This window comes from Homo sapiens, chromosome 16 (genome assembly GCF_000001405.40).
Source record: "Homo sapiens chromosome 16, GRCh38.p14 Primary Assembly".
NCBI classification, from domain to species: domain Eukaryota; kingdom Metazoa; phylum Chordata; class Mammalia; order Primates; family Hominidae; genus Homo; species Homo sapiens.
Genome location: NC_000016.10, coordinates 30,846,682 through 30,869,333, shown reverse-complemented (window position 1 = coordinate 30,869,333; position 22,652 = coordinate 30,846,682). Strand labels below are relative to the sequence as shown.

Genomic DNA, 22,652 nt, shown 5'->3' with positions numbered 1-22,652 from the left:
AGGAGGCTGAGGTGGGAGGATTGCTGGAACCTGGGAGGTCGAGGCTGCAGTGAGCCATGATCGTGCCACTGAACTCCAGCCTGGGTGACAGAGTGAGACCCTGTCGCAAAAAACAAAATAAAATAATGAAGGCTATAGGCTCAGAGAGGGAAAGCGATAGGCCCCGAGTGACACAGCAAAGCTGGAACTACGACTCTGGCCCCAGTCTTCAAGCTCGGCACTCTTTCTACTTTGTCTTTCCCATAACTGTCGACTCACAAAGCCATGGCCATGAAAAAATTAGATTCATGGCTGGGTGCGGTGGCTCACACCTGTAATCCCAACATTTTGGGAGGCTGAGGCAGGTGGATCATTTGAGGTCAGGAGTTCAAAAAAAAAGAAAAAATTACAGATTCATTTTAAAAGTGTAATGTGGAAGCTGAGAAGGGAGGTAAAGCAGAGGCATAACAGGCCAATTTTTTTTAAATCTTTTTTTTTTGCTGTTGTATTATTTTTCTTTTCCGTTCTGTTCTTTTTCTTTGTTGTTGCTGTTGTTTTTTGTTTTGTTTCAGATGGAGTTTCGCTCTTGTTGCCCAGGCTGGAGTGCAATGGCGCAATCTCCGCTCACCACAACCTCCACCTCCCAGGATCAAGAGATTCTCCTGCCTCAGCCTCCCAAGTAGCTGGGATCACAGGCGCGTGCCACCACACCTGGCTAATTTTGTATTTTTAGTAGAGACCAGGTTTCTCCATGTTGGTCAGGCTGGTCTCGAACTCCCGACCTCAGGTGATCTGCCCACCTCGGCCTCCCAAAGTGCTGGGATTACAGGCGTGAGCCACCGCGCCTGGCCTATTGTATTGTTTTCTATAGCTGTAACAAATTACAGCAAATTTAGTAGCTTAAAACAACACAGATTTGGCGGGGTGCGGTGACTCACGCCTGTAATCCCAGCACTTTGGGAGGCCGAGGTGGGCGGATCAGGAGGTCAGGAGATGGAGACCATCCTGGCTAACATGGTGAAACCCTGTCTCTACTAAAAATACAAAAAAAAAAAAAAAATTAGCCGGGTCGGGTGGTACACGCCTGTAGTCCCAGCTACTCGGGAGGCTGAGGCAGGAGAATCGCTTGAACCCAGGAGGCAGAGGTTGCAGTGAGCTGAGATCGCACCACTGCATTCCAGCCTGGGTGACAGAGCAAGACTCTGTCTCAAAAAAAAAAAAAAAACCCACAGATTTATCATATTACAATTCCGTAGGTCTGAAGTCTGACATGAGTCTCACTGGGCTAAAATCGAGGTGTTTCTGTTGGACAAGAGATTGTTGTAAAACAACAACAAAAAATAATAAATAAATGAAATCAAATCAGGGTGTCTTCAGGGCTGTGTTCCCTCCTGGAGGCTCTAGGGGACAGTCTGTTTCACTCTCTCTTCCAGCTTCCAGAGGCCCCTCCCTCCATCTTCAGAGTCAGTCACACTGCATTTCTGACCATTCTTCCACAATCACATCTCCCTCTGATCAAAATCAGAAATAAGTCTCTGATTTTATTTTATTTTTTTCTTTTTGAGATGGAGTCTTGCTCTGTTGCCCAGGCCGGAGTGCAGTGGCGCGATCTTGGCTCACTGTAACCTCCGCCTCCCGGGTTCAAGCGATTCTCCTGTCTCAGCCTCCTGAGTAGCTGGGATTACAGGCATGCGCCACCACGCCTGGCTAATTTGTGTATATTTAATAGAGATGGGGTTTCACCATGTTGGCCAGGCTGGTCTCGAACTCCTGACCTCAGGTGATCTGCCTGCCTCGGCCTTCCAAAGTGCTGGGATGGCCGAGTCTCTGATTTTAAAGACCAACATGATTACATTGTGCCCCCCTGGATAATCCAAGACCACCCGCATCTCAAGGTCCTTAATCACACCTGCAAAATCCCTTCACCATGTAAACTAAGACATTCACATGTTCCAGGGGTTAGGGTGTGGGAATTTTAGGACATCAGAATAATGGCCATTATTCTGCCTACCACTTATGAAACATCCATATACATAAATATTCATAGAAAAATAGTCTAAGATAGTATTACAAAACAAAATATCCTTATAACCACCACCCAAACCAAGAAATAAACATGGTCAGAATCTCAATGATACCCACCTTCCCCCAATCATGTTTTTTTGGGCCTGGAATTTTTTTGTCCATCTATTAACTTTCAACATTTTTGTCACTTTGTTTTATGTGCATTTCCTATACATTGCATATGGCTAGATTTTAAAAGTCATTTGGTTTGACAAGCTCTGACTTTTGTTTGTTTTTGAGACAGGGTATCTCCCTGTCATCCAGGATGGAGTGCAGTAGCACAATTGTAGCTCACTGTAGCCTCAAACTCCTGGGCTCAAGTGATCCTCCAGCCTCAGCCTTCTGGATAGTTGGGACTACAGGTGTGCACCACCATGCTCAGCTGATTTTTAAACTTTTTGTAGAGAAGATATCTCATTATGTTGCCCAGACTGGTCGTGAACTCTTGGCCTTATATAATCCTCCCACCTCAGCTTCCCAAAGTGCTGGCATTACAGGCATGAGACGGCACGCCCAGCAAACCTCTGACTTATAATAGGTTAATTCAGCCTGTTCATATTTATTTCAATAAGCAATATACTTTCTTTCCGCCTTATTTTACATTTACTATTTACATTTCATTAATGTTTTCCTCTGTGCCTTTTTTTTTCTTTAACTTTGGTGGGTTTCATCAAGTTCCTGTTAATTCCCACCCCCCCACCTTTTTTTTTTTTTTCCAGACAGTCTCGCTATTTTGGCCAGGCTGGAGTGCAGTGGCCCGATCTTGGCTCACTGCAACCTCTGCCACCCAGGTTCAGGCGATTGTCATGCCTCAGCCCCCTGAGTAGCTGGGACTACAGGTGCGTGCCACCACGCCTGGCTAATTTTTGTATTTTTAGTAGAGACAGCGTTTCACCATGTTCGCCAGGCTGGTCTCAAACTCCTGACCTCAAGTGATCCACCCACCTCAGTCTACCAAAGTGCTGCAATTACAGGCGTGAACCACCGCACCCAGCCTTCCCTTTGCTAACCTGCTAGTGTTTATCTTCTTTCCTAACAATCATATCCTTAAATTGCTCTATGGATACATGGTAAATAATCCTCCTCCATCAAAATATTATGCTTGCCAACTCCTCCATCACTCCCTGAAAGACGCTGCCTTTAGCATGCTTCTAACTCTCCCACTCTCCCCAGTCCTTGAGTTTTATTACTGAGATAGTTTACAATTTTTTGTTCTCGTCTATTATGAGGATTTGTTGTTGTTATAAAACCCATATGGCCGGGCGAGGTGGCTCACGCCTGTAATACCACCACTTTGGGAGGCTGAGGCAGATGGATCTCCTGACGTCAGGAGTTCGAGACAAGCTTAGCCAACATAGTGAAACGCTGTGTCTACTAAAAATACAAAAAAAAAAAAAAAATTAGGGCACTGTGGCGGGCGCCTGTAATCCCAGCTACTAGGGAGGCTGAGGCAGGAGAATCGCTTGAACCTGGGAGGTGGAGGTTGCAGTGAGCCAAGATCACGCCACTGCACTCCAGCCTGGGTGACAGAACAAGACTCCATCTCAAAAAAAAAAAAAAAAAGAAAAAAAAAGCCATATGTATGTGCACGGTAAAATGTCAGGAAATACAGATGAGGAAAAATGAGAGTAACACTATTCCTGCCACCTAGAGTCCTACTGCCAGTACCTTGAATTGGTGTTTTATTTTATTTTTATTCATTTATTTTTTAAAGATACAAGATCTCATTCTGTCACCTGGGCTGGACTGCAGTGGCATAATCATAGTTCACTGCAACCTCAAACTCCAGAGCTCAAGGGATCCTTCTGCCTCAGCCACCCAAGTAGCTGGGAATACAAAGGCACACCACTAGGCCAGGCTAATTTTCAAAAAAATTTTTTTTTTGGTAGAGACTGTCACACGCTTCCGGGTGAAGATACCACCAAACAGCAAACAGGCTTTGTGTGAGCAACAAGGCTGTTTATTTCACCTGGGTGCAGGTGGGCTGAGTCCGAAAGAGGAGTCAGCAAAGGGTGGTAGGATTATCATTAGTTCTTATGGGTTTGGAATAGGCATACAAAGTACATTCTCAAGGGTGGGGAGAGTATTACAAAGTACTTTTTTTTTTTTTTTTTTTTTGAGTTGGAGGTCTTGCTCCGTTGCCCAGGCTGGATAGAGTGCAGTGACGTGATCTCGGCTCACTGCAAGCTCCGCCTCCCAGGTTCAAGTGATTCTCCTGCCTCAGCCTCCCAAGTAGCTGGGACTACAGTTGCCTGCCACCACGCCTGGCTAACTTTTTGTATTTTTAGTAGAGATGGGGTTTCACCGTGTTAGCCAGGATGATCTCGATCTCCTGACCTTGTGATCCGCCAACCTCGGCCTCCCAAAGTGCTGGGATTACAGACAAAGTACCTTCTTAAGGGCAGGGGAGAATATTACAAAGTACCTTCTTAAGGGTGGGGGGGTGGGGGTGGGGGGGAGAATATATCGCATCAGTTAGGGTGGGGCAGGAACAAATCACAGTGGTGGAATGTCATCAGTTAAGGCTATTTTCACTTGTGGATCTTCAGTTGCTTCAGGCCATCTGGATGTATACGTGCAGGTCACAGGGGATATGATGGCTTAGCCTGGGCTCAGAGGTCTGACATTCCTGTCTTATATTAATAAGAAAAACAAAACAAAATAGTGGTGAAGTGTTGGGGCGGTGAAAATTTTTGGGGGTGGTATGGAGAGATAATGGGTGATGTTTCTCAGGGCTGCTTCGAGCAGGATTAGGGGCAGCGTGGGAACCTACAGTGGGAGAGATTAAACTGAAGAAAGATTTTGGGGTAAGGGGTGATATTGTGGGGTTGTTAGAAGGAGCATTTGTCATATAGAATTATTGGTGATGGCCTGGATGCAGTTTTGTATTAATTGAGAAACTAAACAGAAGACACAAGATCTGAATAAAAGAAGGAGAAAAATAGGTATTAAAGGACTAAGAATTGGGAGTACTCAGGACATCCAATTAGAGAGTGTCCAAGGGGGTTCAGCATAATTATTTGCTTGGTTGGCGAGTTTTTGGGCTCTATCCTTGAGTTTTTTTATGTTGTCATATACCAGGCCAGATTGATTTAGGAAAAAACAACACTCTTCATTTAAAAATATACAGAGTCCTCCTTTTTCAGCAGTGAGTAAATCAGGGCCTCGGTGATTTTGGAGGAAAGAGAAATGCAAAACCAGCAATTATTTGTTAAAGAAGGATTAGAAACGGCTAGGAGAGAGTCAGTGAGATTGATAGTGTGATGGAGATAGCTGGGGAGAGGTAGAGGGTGACGTAAGAATGGGAACGAGAATAAGAGTGAGTATAAAAGTAAAGAATAGGACTTCATCAGGGTGAAAGAATTGGAGTGTGCCCTGTCAGCAAAGATCATCTATCCACTCCAAGAGGGAGTCAAGAGTGGCGGATTGGGGATAGATTTTCACTATGGAAAGGAAATGAGAGGTTTTAAGAGGTGGGCTAGTGGCTTGTAACCTACATGGAAGAGGTTATGAAATGATGACAGAATAGAATAGGCCTGTGAGGCTGGAAGGAGATATTTTCCTTGGTCCAAGAACCGTTTACCTTGTGTGGGAAGAGATTGATAGGTGAAAGTTTCAGTGGGAGAGTAGGTGGGCGTGACCGATGAGAAGGAGAAAAACTAGCCGTGAGGGACAGAAGTTGGAACACTAGCTGCTTCTTTAGCTACCTTATCAGCATAAGCGTTGCCCTGAGCAATGGGATCTGACACCTTTTGATGGCCCTTGCAGTGATTGACTCCAGCTTCCTTTGGAAGTAAAAGGGCCTTGAGAAGAGTTTTTATTAAAGACAGATTAATGATGGAGGACCCTTGTGTAGTGAGGAAACCTCTTTCAGCCCATATAACAGCATGGTGGTGCAGGATATGGAAGGCATATTTAGAGTCAGTATAAATTTTGATGCATAGTCCCCTTGCAAGAGTGAGGGCCTGAGTTAAGGCAATGAGTTCGGCTTGCTGAGAAGTAGTGAAGAGGGGCAGAGCAGTGGCCTCAATGATAAATGTGGAAGATACTGTAGCATAGCCTACCTTTGCTGGTGAGTGGCGATTAGGCCTGGTGGAACTGCTGTCAATAAACCAAGTGTGATCAGGGTGAGGAACAGGAAAGAAGGAAATATGGGGAAGTGGAGTGAATGCCAGGTGGATCAGAGAGATACAGTCATGGGGGTCAGGTGTGTTATCAGGAATAATGTGGGGGGGCCAGCCTAAAACAGTAAGGTCAAGTTGTTTGGATAGGCTACAGGGCATGGTCCCAGCTCTTGTATAAAAATTCCAGCTGCATAGCCCTGCACTTCAGCTGTGTGTAATCAAAAAGGGTTGGGATGAATTAGGGAGAGCTAGTGTGGGAGCAGCTTTTAGGGCTGTTTTTAAGGAATGGAAAGAGGAGTGGGGAAAGGATTTAGGATTTATGGGGTCAGCTAGGTTTCCTTTTGTGAGTTTATATAATGATTTAGTTAGGATGGCAAAACCAGGTATCCAAAGGTGAAAGTACCTAACCATGTCTAGGAAGGAAAGGAGTTGTTGCTTTGTAGAAGGGTTTGGGGTTTGGGAGATTATCCGGACACGATCAACTGGGAGAGCACGTGTGTTTTTATGAAGAATTATGCCAAGATAGATAATGAATGAGGAAGAAATTTGGGCTTTGGAGGGGGATACGAGATATCCCTTTGAGAATAGATGTTGGAGGAGCAGGAGCGTGTCCTGTTGGGAGGATTTGTAGGGGGAACTACAAAGTAGAAGGTCGTTACAATATTGAATAAGGTGAGAAGCAGATGGACAGAAAGAAAGTAAATAATGAGAAAGGGCTTGACTGAAGTAATGAGGGCCGTCCCTGCAGCCTTGCGGCAATACAGCCCAGGTAAGTTGCTGAGACTGATGAGTGTCAGGGTCAATCCAAGTGAAAGCGAAGAGAGGCTGGGATGAAGGGTGCAAAGGAATAGTAAAGGAAGCATGTTTGAGATCCATAACAGAATAATGGGTTGTGGAGGGAGGTATTGAGGTGTGGCTGTAGCCCAGAAATAGTCAGGGAAGCAAATAATTTGGTTAAAATGTCTCGACCTAATAAGGGAGCTGGGCAGGTGGGGATAACTAAAAAGGAGTGCATAAAAGAATGTTGTCCAGGCCGGGCGCGGTGGCTCACACCTGTAATCCCAGCACTTTGGGAGGCCGAGGCAGCGGATCACGAGGTTGGAGATTGAGACCACAGTTAAACCCTGTCGCTACTAAAAATACAAAAAATTAGCCAGTGCCTGTAGTCCCAGCTACTTGGGAGGCTGAGGCAGGAGAATGGCATGAACCCAGGAGGCGGAGCTTGCATTGACCTGAGATCACGCCACTGCACTCCAGCCTGGGTGACAGAGCGAAACTCCGTCTCAAAAAAAAAAAAAAAAAAAAAAAAGCATGTTGTCCAAGTTGGCACCAGAATTGGGGAGTTTTAAGAGGTTTAGAAGCCTGGTCGTGAATACCCACAACAGTTACGGAAACAGTCCCTTGAAAAGAAGGTAATGTGGAGTGGGTAGCCTCCATATTGATTAAGAAGGGGACGGAGTTACCCTCCACTGTAAGAGTTACCCAAAGCGTCTGTGATGGTCCAGGAGGCTTCCGAGGCAATCAGGCAGCATCAGTCTTCAGCCACTAAGCCGGGAAGATCTGGGAAGGAGTCAGTCAGAGAGCCTTGGGCCAGAGTTGCAGGGTCTCTGGCAGTGGCTGCTGGGCGAGTTGGACAGTCTAATTTCCAGTAGGATCCCACACAGATGGGACACGGCTTAGGAGGAATCCCGGGCTGTGGGCATTCCTTGGCCCAGTGGCCAGATTTCTGGCACTTGAAGCAAGATCCTGGGGGAGGAGGTCCTGGAGGAACGCCTGGCTGCAGCAGTTCAGGCGTTTGGAAGTTCTTGTGTGCTGGAGATATGGCTGGGGTTTCTCTCACAGTGGAGGCAAGGAGTTGCAACTCAGAAATATGTTGCTACTTGGCTGCCTCTACTCTATTATTGTATACCTTGAAGGCAAGGTTAATTAAGTCCTGTTGTAGGGTTTGACGGCCAGAATCTAATTTTTGGAGCTTTTTCTAATGTCGAGTAAAGGGCGGTAGAGCGTCTAAGGGTTATTGCCAAACGGGCCATGGACTGGGCTGGGTTTTTATATTTAATGAAAAAGAGCCTAAACGCTAACTGATTTGGGAGAGGTCAGAAAAAGAAGAAGGAGCATTAACCTTGACTCTACCTTCAGCTCCAGCCACCTCTCTAAGAGGAAATTGTTGGGCAGATGGGGGAGGGCTAGTCGCGGAAAAAAACTGTAAGCCGGACCGGGTGTGAGGAGGGGAGGTGATAGAAGGATTATAGGGTCAGGGAGCGGAGGCTGAGGGAGAATTGGGACTTGGCTTGGCCTGACAAGGAGCAGCCTGGGAAGGAGGGGAGAGGTCAGATAGGTTCATAGAAAAGGAGGATTCAGAGGACTCAGAGCTTGGGGTGGAGACTGAAGGAACAGACAGGAGAGAAAGAGGAAAGATTTGGGACGAGTCACATTGGGAGCAGAGACTAGGGAGGGACTGATGTGTAAAAGAATGCCTAGATGTCAGCCACCTCAGACCATTTGCCCATTTTACAACAAGCATTATCTAGATCTTGTAGGATGGAGAAGTTGAAAGTGACATTTTCTGGCTATTTGGAACCATTGTCGAGTTTGTATTGGGGTCAAGCTGTATTGCAGAAGAAAATAAGGTGTTTAGGTTTTAGGTCAGGTGTGAGTTGAAGAGGTTTTAAGTTTTTGAGAACACAGGCTAAAGGAGAAGAAAGGGGAATGGAGGGCGGAAGCTTGCCCATCGCAAAGGAGGTAAGTTTAAAGAGAAAGGTAGAGACATGGAGTGGTGGTGAGCAGCCCTGGGCTGCAATGTGGGTGAGCAGCCAAAGCAGGCGTCCCCACAGTTGACTTGCCACCAAGGGAATGTGGGTGAATGACCAAGGCAGACATCCCCGCGGTGATCAGACACCAATGAAATGTGGGGTGAATAATCAGGCAGGTGTCCCCGCAATGATTAAACACCAAGGGAAGACTGTCTTCCCGAGTCCGTGACCGGCACTGGAGTTTTGGGTCCACGGATAAAATGTGTCTCCTTTGTCTCTACTAGAGAGGAAAAAGACCTGGAATTGGAAGGACAGGGAGATTGAAGGGTAGCGAGAGAGGGAGATTGAAGGGTAGCAAGAGAGGCTGGAGAAGAGAGTGAAAAGACCGCTTACCCAATTTAAAATTGGTGAGATGTTCCTTGGGCTGGTTGGTCTGAGGACCCAAGGTCGTAGGTGGATCTCCTCACGGAGTGAGGGCAAGGACAGGGGACTGGTCTCCCGAAGGAGTCCTCCTGTCCCAGGTTTCGGCACCAAATGTCATGTGCATTTGTGTGAAGAGACCACCAAACAGGCTTTGTGTGAGCAACAAGGCTGTTTATTTCACCTGGGTGCAGGTTGGCAGAGTCCGAAAACAGAATCAGCAAAGGGTGGTGGGATTATCATTAGTTCTTATGGGTTTGGGATAGGTGTACAAAGTACATTCTCAAGGGCAGGGAGAATATTACAAAGTACCTTCTTAAGGGCAGGGGAGAATATTACAAAGTACCTTCTTAAAGGTGGGGAGGGGGGAGAATATATCGTATCAGTTAGAGTGGGGCAGGAACAAATCACAATGGTGGAACGTCATCAGTTAAGGCTATTTTCACTTCTTTTGTGGATCTTCAGTTGCTTCAGGCCATCTGGATGTATACATGCAGGTCACAGGGGATGTGATGGCTTAGCTTGGGCTCAGAGGCCTGACAGAGACAGGGTCTTGCTATGTTGCCCAGGCTGGTCTTGAACTGCTAGCCTCAAATGATCCTCCTAGCTCAGCATCCCAAAGTGCTGGGATTTCAGGTGTAAACCACCATGGTGGGACTGTTATTAGGATTTTCATTACTCACTTCTGCAAAACAGTCTCTAAACACTTGATGCACAAATTCCCAGTCTATCCTCCACCGTCTAAGCTGAACTCTTTCTCTGTATTGCATAATTCATTGCTAACTCTGCTACCTTACCTCTTCATCTGTCATTATCGTGAATTTGTAACCACTACTGAAAGAATTTTCTTAAGGAAATCCCTCAGAGGGCATGTAGGTGATATATGCACTGAATCTTGTAAGCCAGAAAATGTCTTTCTTTTGCCTTGATCAGGCAATTACACTGGTTGGTTTTGATCTTTGGTCACATTCCTTTTCTCTTAGCAATCTGTATTCTACTATCTCCTGGCTTGTAGTATTGTAGATGGGCACCCTTAGAGGATTCTCGTTCCCTTATAAGTAACCTAATCTTTTTGTCTGGAAGCTTATAGGGTGTTTTTTCTATTTCTGGGACTCAGGGATTTTATCAGGCTATGTCTAGATGCTTATCTTTAGTCATGCGAGTCATTTTACTCTTCAGACTCAAATTTCCCACTCCACTGTTCCCGTTCTCTTCTTTTGGGGCTCCTGTTGTTTGGTTGTTGGTCTTCTGGATCAGCCCTTCAGTTTCACATGTAATTGCAGGGCTCCTTCTCTTGAATTTCTGACATGTGATAGGATTTCTTCCAGTATCTCCGAGTGTCTCATTAATGACTGTGCCAACTACCAAATATGTCTATTCTAGGTTTTTCCTGGCATTGAGGAAGTAACCACAGGATGGGTCTGTGAACCACTGGGGCCCACTGAGGAGGCCTGGAATTAAGATTCCATCTGTCCCCTGACCCCCTTAAGCCCTTATTTTGACTGGTGGAGCACACTGGCGTTTTGGGTCCCTAGGAATAAGCATAAACTTAGAGCCCATGTCTAGTAATCCCTAAGGAGCCTGGATATTCCCTCTCCCCAAGGCACAGACACCCTGGTGAGTGGCCATAGGTCACTTCGGAAAGGCTTGAAGGAAGATTTATGCTGCAAGGACCTTCCTCCAGGGTACTGGTTATCTCCTTCAATCAAGGAGCTCTGGGTCCGCTAATGACTTAGGTCTGGAAAGGAATGAGAGGCTGGGACTCTTCACTGTGGCAATGGAGTCAGGATCTTGGCTACCAGACCTAGGGTTTCTCCTAGTGTATAAAGGAAGCAGGAGAGAAATACTCTGCAATGGCAGACTAAAGACTTCCAAAAATCCATTCCCCCATAAAAGCAATGAGAACACTGGCAAAAATTGCCCAAATCAGCTTTTTCAGAACTCTATAAATTAACCAAAGGCTAGCTATTACAATCCAAGGCATGGCTTTTCTTTCTTTCTTTCTTTTTTTTTTTTTTTTTGGAGTTGGAGTTTCGCTCTTGTCACTCAGGCTGGAATGCAATGGCACAATCTCGGCTCACTGCAACCTCCACCTCTTAGGTCCAAGTGATTCTCCTGCCTCAGCCTCCCGAGTAGCTGGGATTACAGGCGTGCACAACCACACCCAGCTAATTTTTGTATTATTAGTAGAGATGGGGTTTCATCATGTCGGCCAGGCTGGTCTCTAACTCCTGACCTCAGGTGATCCACCCGCCTTGGCCTCCCAAAGTGCTGGGATTACAGGCATGAGCCACCACGCCCGGCCTCCAAGGCATGGTTTTTCAAGAAAAAACAGCTGAATCCTAGTAAGGAGAGTGAGTTTTGTGGTGTTTTAACTTGCTCTGCTCCCATTCTTCTCTCCCTTGGTCCACAGCAATCTTGGTAACTAAGAGCCTCACAACTAAGAGACCTGTGAGAACCAATAGCCTAGCAGCCATTAGAGGGGCAGAACAGGTTTGAACCTCAACAAAAGCTCTGTTTCCAGAGAAGTGTCATTATTTGACCTATCCGCTGACTCCTTGAAAAGCTCTATTCTCAGGGTTTATCTTTTTTTTTTTTTTTTTTTTGAGATGGAGTCTCGCTCTGTCACCCAGGCTGGAGTACAGTGGCACAATCTTGGCTCACTGCAGCCTCTGCCTCCTGAGTTCTAGTGATTCTCCTGCCTCAGCCTCCCGGGTAGCTGGGACTACAGGCATGCACCACCGTGCCTAGCTAATTTTGTATTTTTAATACAGGTGGGGTTTCACCATGTTGGCCAGGCTGGTCTTGAACTCCTGACCTCATGTGATCTGCCCGCCTCGGCCTCCCAAAGTGCTGGGATTACAGGCATAAGCCACCGTGCCCAGCCCTCAGGGTTTATCTTTATTTGACCTGACTCAGGACTTTTCCTTTACTAACAGCCATGTCCCTAGGGCATTTGTTGAAAACAAACAAAAACAGGCAGTGACAACTGTTTAACATCACAAGTGCCTGGGGTGGTAATACCAGTTGGAGATATAAGAGGCTGACAAAAAAACTTAAAAGGAAAGAAAACCATGCCATATCCAATAGAGAGCAAAGCTCTGACATATTCTTAGGAATTCCTAGGTCACCAGCATGTCTAGGGCTGTGAACATACAGAGAAAAGACCTGAGAAGTCCCTACGCTCTCACCTCTAGCTGACCTTGTGGCTCTGTGCCGGCCGGCAGCAAGGGAAGGTTAGAGCAGTGCTATACACTGTCTTTGGAACACTGAGACACACACATAGAGCCCCTCGGAAAAGCTGGGAGTCATTTGTGAAAGGCATTTAAGAAAATCTCTGTCCAATCATTAGCTGACAACTAAGCTAACTGGGCTAACTGCTCTAACAGAGCAGACTTCAGTGGCTGCACAACGTAGAATACAGATGCGACTGAATTAGTCTAGGGATTCACATAACAAATAGCAGCAACAACGTACAGTGACAATAACAAAGCCTAGGGAGGAGGGGAATCTAATTTTCAGAGCTGCCACACTTTTTTTTTTTTTTTTTTTTTAGACGGAGTCTCACTGTGTCGCCCAGACTGGAGTAGAGTGGTGTGATCTTGACTCACTGCAACTTCTGCCTCCTGGGTTCAAGTGATTCTCCTGCCTCAGCCTCCTGAGTAGCTGGGACTACAGGTGCCCGCCACCATGCTCAGCTCATTTTTTGTATTTTTAGTAGAGACGGGGTTTCACTGTGTTAGCCAGGATGGTCTCAATCTCCTGACCTCGTGATCCGCCCGCCTCAGCCTCCCAAAGTGCTGGGATTACAGGCATGAGCCACTGCACCCGACTTTGGTTTTTAAAATGTCACTTTCAACCAAAAATGATGAGACATGCAAAAAAATAGAAAGTTTTATTTATAACTTTCTTCTTTTTTTTTTTTTTTTTTTTAGATGGAGTCTTGCTTTGTCGCCCAGGCTGGAGTGCAATGGTGCAATCTTGGCTCAATGCAACCTCCGCCTCCTGGGTTCAAGCGATTTTCCTGCATCAGACTCCTGAGTAGCTGGGATTACAGGCGCCTGCACCACCACACCTGGCTAATTTTGTATTTTTAGTAGAGACGGGGTTTTTCCATGTTGGTCAGGCTAGTCTTGAACTCCCGACCTCAGGTGATCCACCTGCCTCAGCCTCCCAAAGTGCTGGGATTACAGGCATGAGCCACCACGCCCAGCCCTTTCTTTTCTTTTTAAATAGAGACAGGGGCTCGCTATGTTGCCCAGGCTGGTCTCAAACTTCTGGGCTCAAGCGATCCTCTTGCCTTAGCCTCCTAAACTGTTGGGATTACAGACATGAGCCACCATGCCCCGTCCGTAGCAATGATCTTAAAGAACAAGAACAAAGTGACAGAAGCTATTAAAGGATCTGCTTCATTGAAGGCAATGAGACTCATAAAAATTTGAGAAGGGCAGGGCCAGGTGCAGTGGCTCATGCCTATAATCCCAGCACTTTGGGAGGCTGAGGTGGATGGATCACTGGAGGTCAGGAGTTCAAGACCAGCCTGGCCAATGTGGTGAAACCCCATCTCTATGAAAAATACAAAAATTAGCCGGGTGTGGTGGTGGGCACACGCCTGTAATCCCAGCTACTCAGGAGGCTAAGGCAGACAAATCGCTTGAACCCAGGAGGTAGAGCTTGCAGTGAGCCGAGATCATGTCACTGCACTCCAGCTTGAGCAACAGAGGGAGACTCCATCTCAAAATAAATAAATAAATAAATTTATTTGAGAAGGGTGGCCTATATCAGATGTGGAGAAACTTCTGATGACCTGGATTGAAGACTAGACACAGAAGCATAGCTCTCTCAGCACCATGATGATCTCAGCCAAAACAAAAAGTCTGTGTGCGACATTGAAAGAAACGGCTGGACCCAACTATTATGCTGAATTATTGCTAGCTCTGAGTGGTTTAAAGGATTAATTATGTTATTAATTACATAACGTAAAAGTGAGTGGTGAGGTTGGGCATGGTGGCTCACGCCTGTAATCCCAGCACTTTGGAAGGCCAAGGCAGGCGGATCACTTGAGGTCAGGAATTCATGACCAGCCTAACCAACGTGGCGAAACCCTGTCTCTACTAAAAATACATTAGCCAGGCATGTTGGCACGTGCCTGTAATCCCAGGCACTCAGGAGGTTGAGGCAGGAGAATCGCTCTGGGAGACGGAGGTTGCAGTAAGCTGAGATCATGCCACTGCACTCCAGCCTGGGTGACAGAGCGAGACTGTTTCTCAGAAAAAAAAAAAAAAAGAAAGTGAGTGGTGAGTCTGTGAGTGCTGATGTGAAGGCAGCTGAAGAATTTTTGGAAACTGTAGATAAGCTGATTGTGCAGGAAAATTATTTGCCAGAGAAAATCTTCAATATGGATGAAACTTCCCTATTCTGAAAATGGATGCCTAAGAGAACTTTCATCCATAAGGAGGCCAAGTCAATGCCAGGTTTCAACGCTTTGAAGAACAGGATAACAGTCTTCCTTGGGGGACAATGTTGTAGGCTACAAATTGAAACCCTCTGTGATCTGGCACAGTGAGAACCACAGGGCCTTGAAGCACATCAGTAAGCACACATGGCCAGTGTACTACAGGAGCAATAAGAAGTCATGGATGACCTAGCTCCTCTTCCAAGATGCAATCCTGAATTGTTTTGCCAGAGAAATGCAGAAATACTGTTTGGAGAATAATATATTTTTCAAGATTTTGCTTATTGTTGATAAGGCTCCCATACATCCTCCTTTTACTGGTGATATTCATCCCAATATCTAAGTGGTGTTTTCCCCTCCAAACACCACCTCTTTGTTTCAACCAATGGATCATGGAGGTATAGCAGCTTTTAAGGCCTATTACCTGAGGAGACCTTTGCCCAGGTGATTGCTGCAGCTGAGGAAGACACTGAGAAGCCACTGAGACAATTCTGGAAGGATTGCAACACATCTGTGACTTCATCAAGAACCCTGCTTAGACTTGGGGTGATGTCACCATGCGGTATGAATGCCATCTGGAGGAAGACACTCAAAAGGTTGGTCCATGACTTAAAAGTATTTGTCAAGGATGAGGAGGTTTCAAAAATCAATAAAGCTGTGGTTGAGGTGGCAAATAATTTTAACCTGGGTGTGGATGAGGATGACATGGTAGAGCGCCTAGAGGTAATTCTTGAGGAATTGACTAATAAGGAGCTGTTGGAACTGGAACAGGAATACATAGCTGAAGAAGAGGCAAGAGAAAAAAGAAACTGCAGGAGAAGAAAAACCCAGAAGAAAATTCACAGTGAAGGGTTTAGCAGAAGCTGCTGCAGACCTCAACAAACTCCTTAAAACGTTGAAAACACGGACCCCCATACTGAACGGTTTTCATTAATAGAGATATGTTCATGGTGCATTATCTGTTTACAAGCAAATGTATGATTAAAATAAAAGAAAGAAAGAAGCCAAGCAAACCTCCATGGACATTTTTTGAAAGAGTGATAGTGCCTCAAGAAGAGCCTCAGGCAGGTCCTACAGGAGGGATTCCAGAAGAATGTGTTATCATAGGAGATGACAGCTCCATGCGTGTTATTGCCTCTGAAGACCTTCCAGTGGGGCACGATGTGGAAGTGGAAGACAGTGATCTCGATGATCTTGACTAGTGTAGGCCTAGGCTGGTGTGTGTGTGTGTATGTGTGTCTTAGTTTTTAACAAAAAAGTTTAAAATATTGAAAAATATACTTTTTAAAATAGAAAAAGTTGGCCGGGTGCAGTGGCTCATGCCTGTAATCCCAGCACTTTGGGAGGCTGAGGTGGGTGGATCACTTGAGGTCAGGAGTTCGAGACCAGCCTGACCAACATGGAGAAACCCCGTCTCTACTGAAAAAAATACAAAATTAGCTGGGCGTGGTGGCGCATGTCTGTAATCCCAGCTACTCGGGAGGCAGAGACAGGAGAATCGCTTGAACACAGGAGGCGGAGGGTGCGGTGAGCCGTGATCATGCCATTTGCACTCCAGCCTGGGCAACAAGAGCAAAACTCCGTATCAAAAAATAAATAAAATAAAATAGAAAAAGCTTCTGGAATAAGGATATAAAGAAAGGAAATATTTTTGTACAGCTGTACAATGTGTACTTTAAGCTAAGTGTAATAACATTTATTAATGAGCTTATTGACAAAAGAGTAAGTTTAAAAAATTTAAAAGTTTGGCTGGGTGAGGTGGCTCATGCATGTAATTTCAGCACTTTGGGAGGCCAAGGCGGGTGGATCACCTGAGGTCAGGAGTTTGAGACCAGCCCGACCAATATGGTGAAACCCCGTCTCTACTAAAAATACAAAAATTAGCCAGGCCTGGTGGCATGCGCCTGTAATCCCAGCTACTCAGGAGGCTGAGGCAGAAGAATCACTTGAACCCGGGAGGCAGAGGTTGCCGTGAGCCGAGATCACAATACTGCACTCCAACCTGGGCGCCAAAGCAGGACTCCATCTCAAAAAAAAAAAAAAAAAAAAGTTATAAAGTTACTAAGTGAGTGCAAAAGTAATTGTTGAAATTTGCCATTTGATTTTGGAATACATTCTTAAATAAATGTGGTTATGCTATACATCATTTTAATGGTCATTTCTCACTTTATTTTTTTAATGACTCATTACTGCTGTTTATTTTACGTTTATTTTAGACTATGGAAATGATGTTAGACAAAAAGCAAATTCAAGCGATTTTCTTATTCGAGTTAAAAATGGGTCATAAAGCAGTGGAGACACTTCGCAACATCAACAACACACTTGGCCCAGGAACTGCTAATGAACATATAGTACAGTGGTGGTTCAAGAAGTTTTGCAAAGAAGACAAGAGCCTTGAAGATGAGAAGCATAGTGTCTGGCCATCGGAAGTTGACAATGACCAACTGAAAGCTCTCATTGAAGCTGATCCTGTTAAAACTACACAAGAAGTTGCCCAAGAACTCAACCATCGACCATTCTATGGCCGTCTGGCATTTGAAGCAAATTGGAAAGGTGAAAAAGCTCAATAAGTGGGTGCCTCATGACCTTACCAAAAATTAAAAAAATCGTCATTTTGAAGTGTCATCTTCTCTTATTCTATGCAACAACAACGAACCATTTCTTGATCAGATTGTGATGTGTGACAAAAAGTCGATTTTATATGACAACCGGCAACAACCAGCTCTGTGGCTGTACTGAGAAGCAGCTCTAAAGTACTTCCCAAAGCCAACCTTGCACCAAAAAAAGGTCACGGTCACTGTTTGGTGGTCTGCTGCTGGTCTGATCCACTGCAACTTTCTGAATCCCAGTGAAACCATTACATCTGAGAAGTATGCTCAGCAAATCGATGAGATGCACCAAAAACTGCAAGGCCTGCTGTGGCACTGCTCAACAGAAAGGGCCCAGTTATTCTCCATGACAACAACCACACATCGCATAACCAGCGCTTCAAATATTGAGGCCGGGTGCGGTGGCTCACGCCTGTAATCCCAACATTTTGGGAGGCCAAGGTGGACGGATCACTTGAGGTCAGGAGTTCGAGAACAGCCTGGCCAACATGGTGAAACCTGTCTCTACTAAAAATACAAAAATTAGCTGGGTATGGTAGCTGGCGCCTGTAATCCCAGCTACTCGAGAGGCTGAGGCAAGAGAACTGCTTGAACCCGGAAGGTGGAGGTTGCGATGAGCCAAGATTGTGCCACTGCACTCCAGCCTGGGCGACAGAGTGAGACTTCATTTCAAAAAAAAAAAAATGTTGAACGAATTGGGCTATGAAATTTTGCCTCATCCACCATATTCACCTGACCTCTTGCCAACTGACTACCACTTCTTCAAGCATCCCAGCAGTTTTGCAGGGAAAACGAACCAGTAGGATGCAGAAAATGCTTTCCAAGAGTTCGCTGAATCCCGAAGCACAGATTTTTACGCTACAGGAATAAACAAACTTATTTCTTATTGGAAAAAATGTGTTGTTTGTACTGGTTCCTATTTTGATTAATAAATATGTGTTTGAGCCTGGTTATAGTGATTTAAAATTCATGGTGCGAAACCGCAATTACATTTGCACCAAAAGTTGCACTTAGCTAAAATTAATTTATTACTGCAGAAAAAATCTTTTTTGTAAATTTAGTGTAGCCTATATATACAGTGTTCATAAAGCCTACAGTGGTGTACCATAATGTCCCAGGCCTTCACATTCACTCACTACTGACTTACTAACTCATCTAGGGCAACTTCCAGTCCTGTAGGCTCCATTCTGGTAAGTGCCCTGGTACTTACCATGGCATACCGTGGTATACCAGTGTGGCATATCATTTTATCTTTTATGCTGTATTTTTACTGTACCTTTTCTGTGTGTTTAAATACACAAATACTTACCATCATGTTACAGTATTATATATATATCACCTACAGTATTCAGGACAGTAACATGCTGTACAGATCTGTAGGCTAGGAGCAATAGTCTATATGATATAGTCTAGATTTGTAGTAGCAGGTTATACCATCTAGGTTTGTGTAACTACATTCCATGATGTCTGCACAATGACAAAATCGCCCATGACACATTTCTCAGAATGTATCCCCATTGTTAAGCAACACATGACTGTATATAGTGCCTTTATACTCAAAGATAAATAGTTTGTAAGTAAAAGGATATAACAAGATATGCCATGCAAAAGTAACTATAAGAGATGTGTTTGCTGGGTGTGGTGGCTCATGCCTGTAATCCCAGCAATTTGGAAGGCATATTTCTTTTTTTCTTTTCTTTTCTTTTTTTTTTTTTTTTTTGAGATGGAGTCTCGCTCAGTCACCCAGGCTGGAGTGCAGTGATGCGATCTCGGCTCACTGCAAGCTCTGCCTCCTGGGTTCACGCCATTCTTCTGCCTCAGCCTCCTGAGTAGCTGGGACTACAGGTGCCTGCCACCATGCCCAGCTGATTTTTTTGTATTTTTAGTAGAGATGGGGTTTCACTGTGTTAGCCAGGATGGTCTTGATCTCCTGACCTTGTGATCTGCCCACCTTGGCCTCCCAAAGGTGTGAGCCACCACGCCCAGCCTGGAAGGCATATTTCTTCAGCCCAGAAGTTTGAGACCAGCCTGGGCAACATGGCAAAACCCATCTCTACAATAAAAAATACAAAAGTTAGCTAGGCATGGTGGAGGCTGCAGTGAGCTGCGATCGTACCATTCATTCCAGCCTGAGTGACAGAAAGACCCTGACTCCAAAAAAAAAAAAAAGAAAAAAGGAGGCCAGGCACAGGGGCTCATGCCTATAATCCCAACACTTTGGGAGGCCGAGGCAGGCAGATTGCCCAAGGTCAGGAGTTCAAGACCAGCCTGGCCAACATGGTGAAACCTCGTCTCTACTAAAAATATAAAAATTAGCCAGGCAGGTGGCAGGAGCCTGTAATCCCAGCTACTTGAGAGGCTGAGGCACAGGAAATGCTTGAACCCAGGATGCCGGGGTTGCAGTGAGTTGAGATCGTGCTACTGCAATCCAGCCTGGGCAATAGAGCTAAACTCAGTCTCAAAAAAACAAAAAACGGGGATGTGGAGTGGCTATGCTAATATATATATCAGACAAACCAGAATTTAAGACAAAAATTGTTACTAGATACAAAAGACATTTTATAATGATAAAGGGGTCAATCCATCAGGAAGCCATAATAATTGAAAACATACATGCATCTAACAACAGAGCCCCAAAATACATGAAGCAAAAACTGATAGAACTGAAGGGAGAAATAAGCAATTCAACAATATTAGGCAGAGATTTCAATACTCTACTTTTTCTTTTTCTTTTTTTTTTTTTGAGACGGAGTCTTGCTCTGTCCCCCAGGCTGGAGTGCAGTGGCTCAATCTCGGCTCACTGAAAACTCCGCCTCCTGGGTTCACACCATTCTTCTGTCTCAGCCTCCCGAGTAGCTGGGACTACAGGCGCCCACCACCACGCCTGGTTAATTTTTTGTATTTTTAGTAGAGACAGGGTTTCACCGTGTTAGCCAGGATGGTCTCAATCTCTTGACCTCGTGATCCACCCGCCTCGGCCTCTCAAAGTGCTGGGATTACAGGCATGAACCACCGCGCCCAGCCTTTTTTTTTTTTTTGTGATGGAGTCTCACTTTGTCACCCAGGCTGGAATGCAATGGCACAATCTTGGCTCACTGCAACCTCTGCCTTGGGTTCAAGTGATTCTCCTGCCTCAGCCTCCTGAGTAGCCGGGATTACAGGCATGTGCCACCACACTCAGCTAGAATTTTTTTGTATTTTTAGTAGAGATGGAGTTTCACCATGTTGGCCAGGCTGGTCTTGAACTCCTGACCTCAGGCGATCTGCTGGCCTCGGCCTCCCAAAGTGCTGGGATTACAGGTGTGAGTCACCGCACCTGGCCTCAATACCCTACTTTCAATAATGGATAGAACAGATGATCAACAAGGAAACAGACCAAGAAATATTGGAGTACACTGCCCATCTACTTTGTTCCTAGGGACACTATAATCCATTAGCTACTGCCAAGACCTCTGCAAGCCAAGAAATTAGATTGCCTGGTGGTCTCTGCTGCCCTTTACAGTTGATGTATCTAACTTGTCAGGGTCCCTTCATATCCCAAGATCAGAGGGCCCACCTCAATGGTGCATTTCCTGCAGCCTTACTTGGCCTACAAAGGACAGCAACCAGAGAACTTCTCAAAGATACACCTGCTCCCTTCAATGCCCTAGCAAAAGGAGTGCCTTCTGGGTCCTCTCATAAAATAGAGTTGATAGAGTACACATGATAAACGCAGTCTATCATGCTAAGCCTTTGGATTCTCTCTTCCTTGTGATTACCAGGAAAGATCTGGCATCTCATTTCACTAACCACTTAATAGTGGTAGGCCACCATGAAGTCCAAATTCCAGTCAACCAGCCAAGTAGTCTCTTACAGCCAAATTCAGGTACACAAGCTAACACATTACATCTGGAGTCTCTAGCACATGCACCCACATCAATGAATTTGGCCTTATCTAGTATCACATTCTCCCCTCACTGGTCTAACATCCTTAGCACCCATCTTCCCATACACCCTAGTTTTCTGCTAACGTATCAACAATGTCCTGCAATTATTTTAGTGTGTAAGCTGGGTCATTTTCTCCTGGGTCTCAGTGTGTATCTGTCCCCCTGAAACATGGTGAGATTTTTTTTGTTTTTGTTTTTGTTTTTTTTCAAGATAGAGTCTCATTCTGTTGCCCAGGCTGGAGTGCAATGGCACAATCTCGGCTCTTGGCAACCTCCGCCTCCCGGGTTCAAGCGACTTTCCTGCCTCAGCCTCCTGAGTAGCTGGGATTACAGGTGTGCACCATCATGCCCGGCTAATTTTTGTGTTTTTAGTAGCAACAGGGTTTCACCATGTTGGACAGGCTGGTCTTGAACTCCTGACCTTAGGTGATCCACCCGCCTTGGTCTCCCACAGTGCTGAGATTACAGGTGTGAGCCACTGTGCCTGGCCCATGATGAGATTTGACCCTATTAAAGACCTACTGGCAACAGATAGGTTGTGGTGGATTTTGAGGGTATGAGCATCCACTTTCAAGGCATTTGCCCAGGTGAGGTTATCACAGCCTTTTCAGACAGGAAAGTGAGTCTCTTCAGACTGTGGACATCAGGCTACTTCCACTCACAAGGGAGACTCTGAATGACATAGGAGTTCAATATTGTTGGCTTCATCTGGGTCCAACCAGATTCACCATTCCAAATTTCTGGATCCTATTATTTCCCAATTAGTGCCCTAGTTTTTGCATGACAAATTTGATGAGACTGCAAATTCAACTCATTACTTTTCAGCAAACCACACAATTAAATTATGTGTTTGACTTTCAGCAATATCAGCCCTGGGTCTACACAAGTCAGAGATTGTTTTAGGCTTGTCATGGAAGCATTCTGATTCTCAGACTGTGACTTGAGCTGAGAGTGAATAGACCTGAGCTTGCCATTTTCTCTTTGTAATAACTCGACTGTACTGAAAAGAATCCATCGCACACCACAGTCCTTGCTCCTTGGTCATTACTGCTGTCACTGTAGTCAAGAATAGCAGCCATTTGGGTTCCCAAGGCATGTGCTTCAGTAGGCACTTCACCACCATCACGTGACAGCGTCACTAGCTGGAATGCTACTGCAGGCCATGGGTTGCTGGCATCCCACTTCCCAAGGCAAGGAGCTCAGCAGGGAGCTCAAGCCCAGGGTGTGATTAAATAAATCCCCAAATCCATCTCCACAGGTCTGTCTCCTGGGATCACTCCCAGTGCCACTTATTATATCAGTTAAGGTTCAATCAAAAGGCA

The 22,652-nt window shown here is 45.4% G+C and overlaps 1 protein-coding gene across 5 annotated transcripts in view; it reads left to right on the top strand.

The window, feature by feature from the left end:
• Positions 1-22,652, top strand: part of BCL7C (BAF chromatin remodeling complex subunit BCL7C) — a 60,452-nt gene that overhangs the window by 24,744 nt on the left and 13,056 nt on the right. For 4 of the 5 annotated variants that reach the window (XM_047434898.1, XM_047434897.1, XM_011545980.4 and 1 more), the window contains one exon: positions 17,012-18,355. The exons of the other annotated variant lie outside the window; for it this stretch is intronic. In XM_047434898.1, coding sequence (XP_047290854.1) covers positions 17,012-17,365 — 354 coding nt within the window. In that variant the 3' untranslated portion in view covers positions 17,366-18,355. Of the gene's footprint in view, positions 1-17,011; positions 18,356-22,652 lie in introns of those variants that run through there. 5 annotated transcript variants of the gene reach the window in all.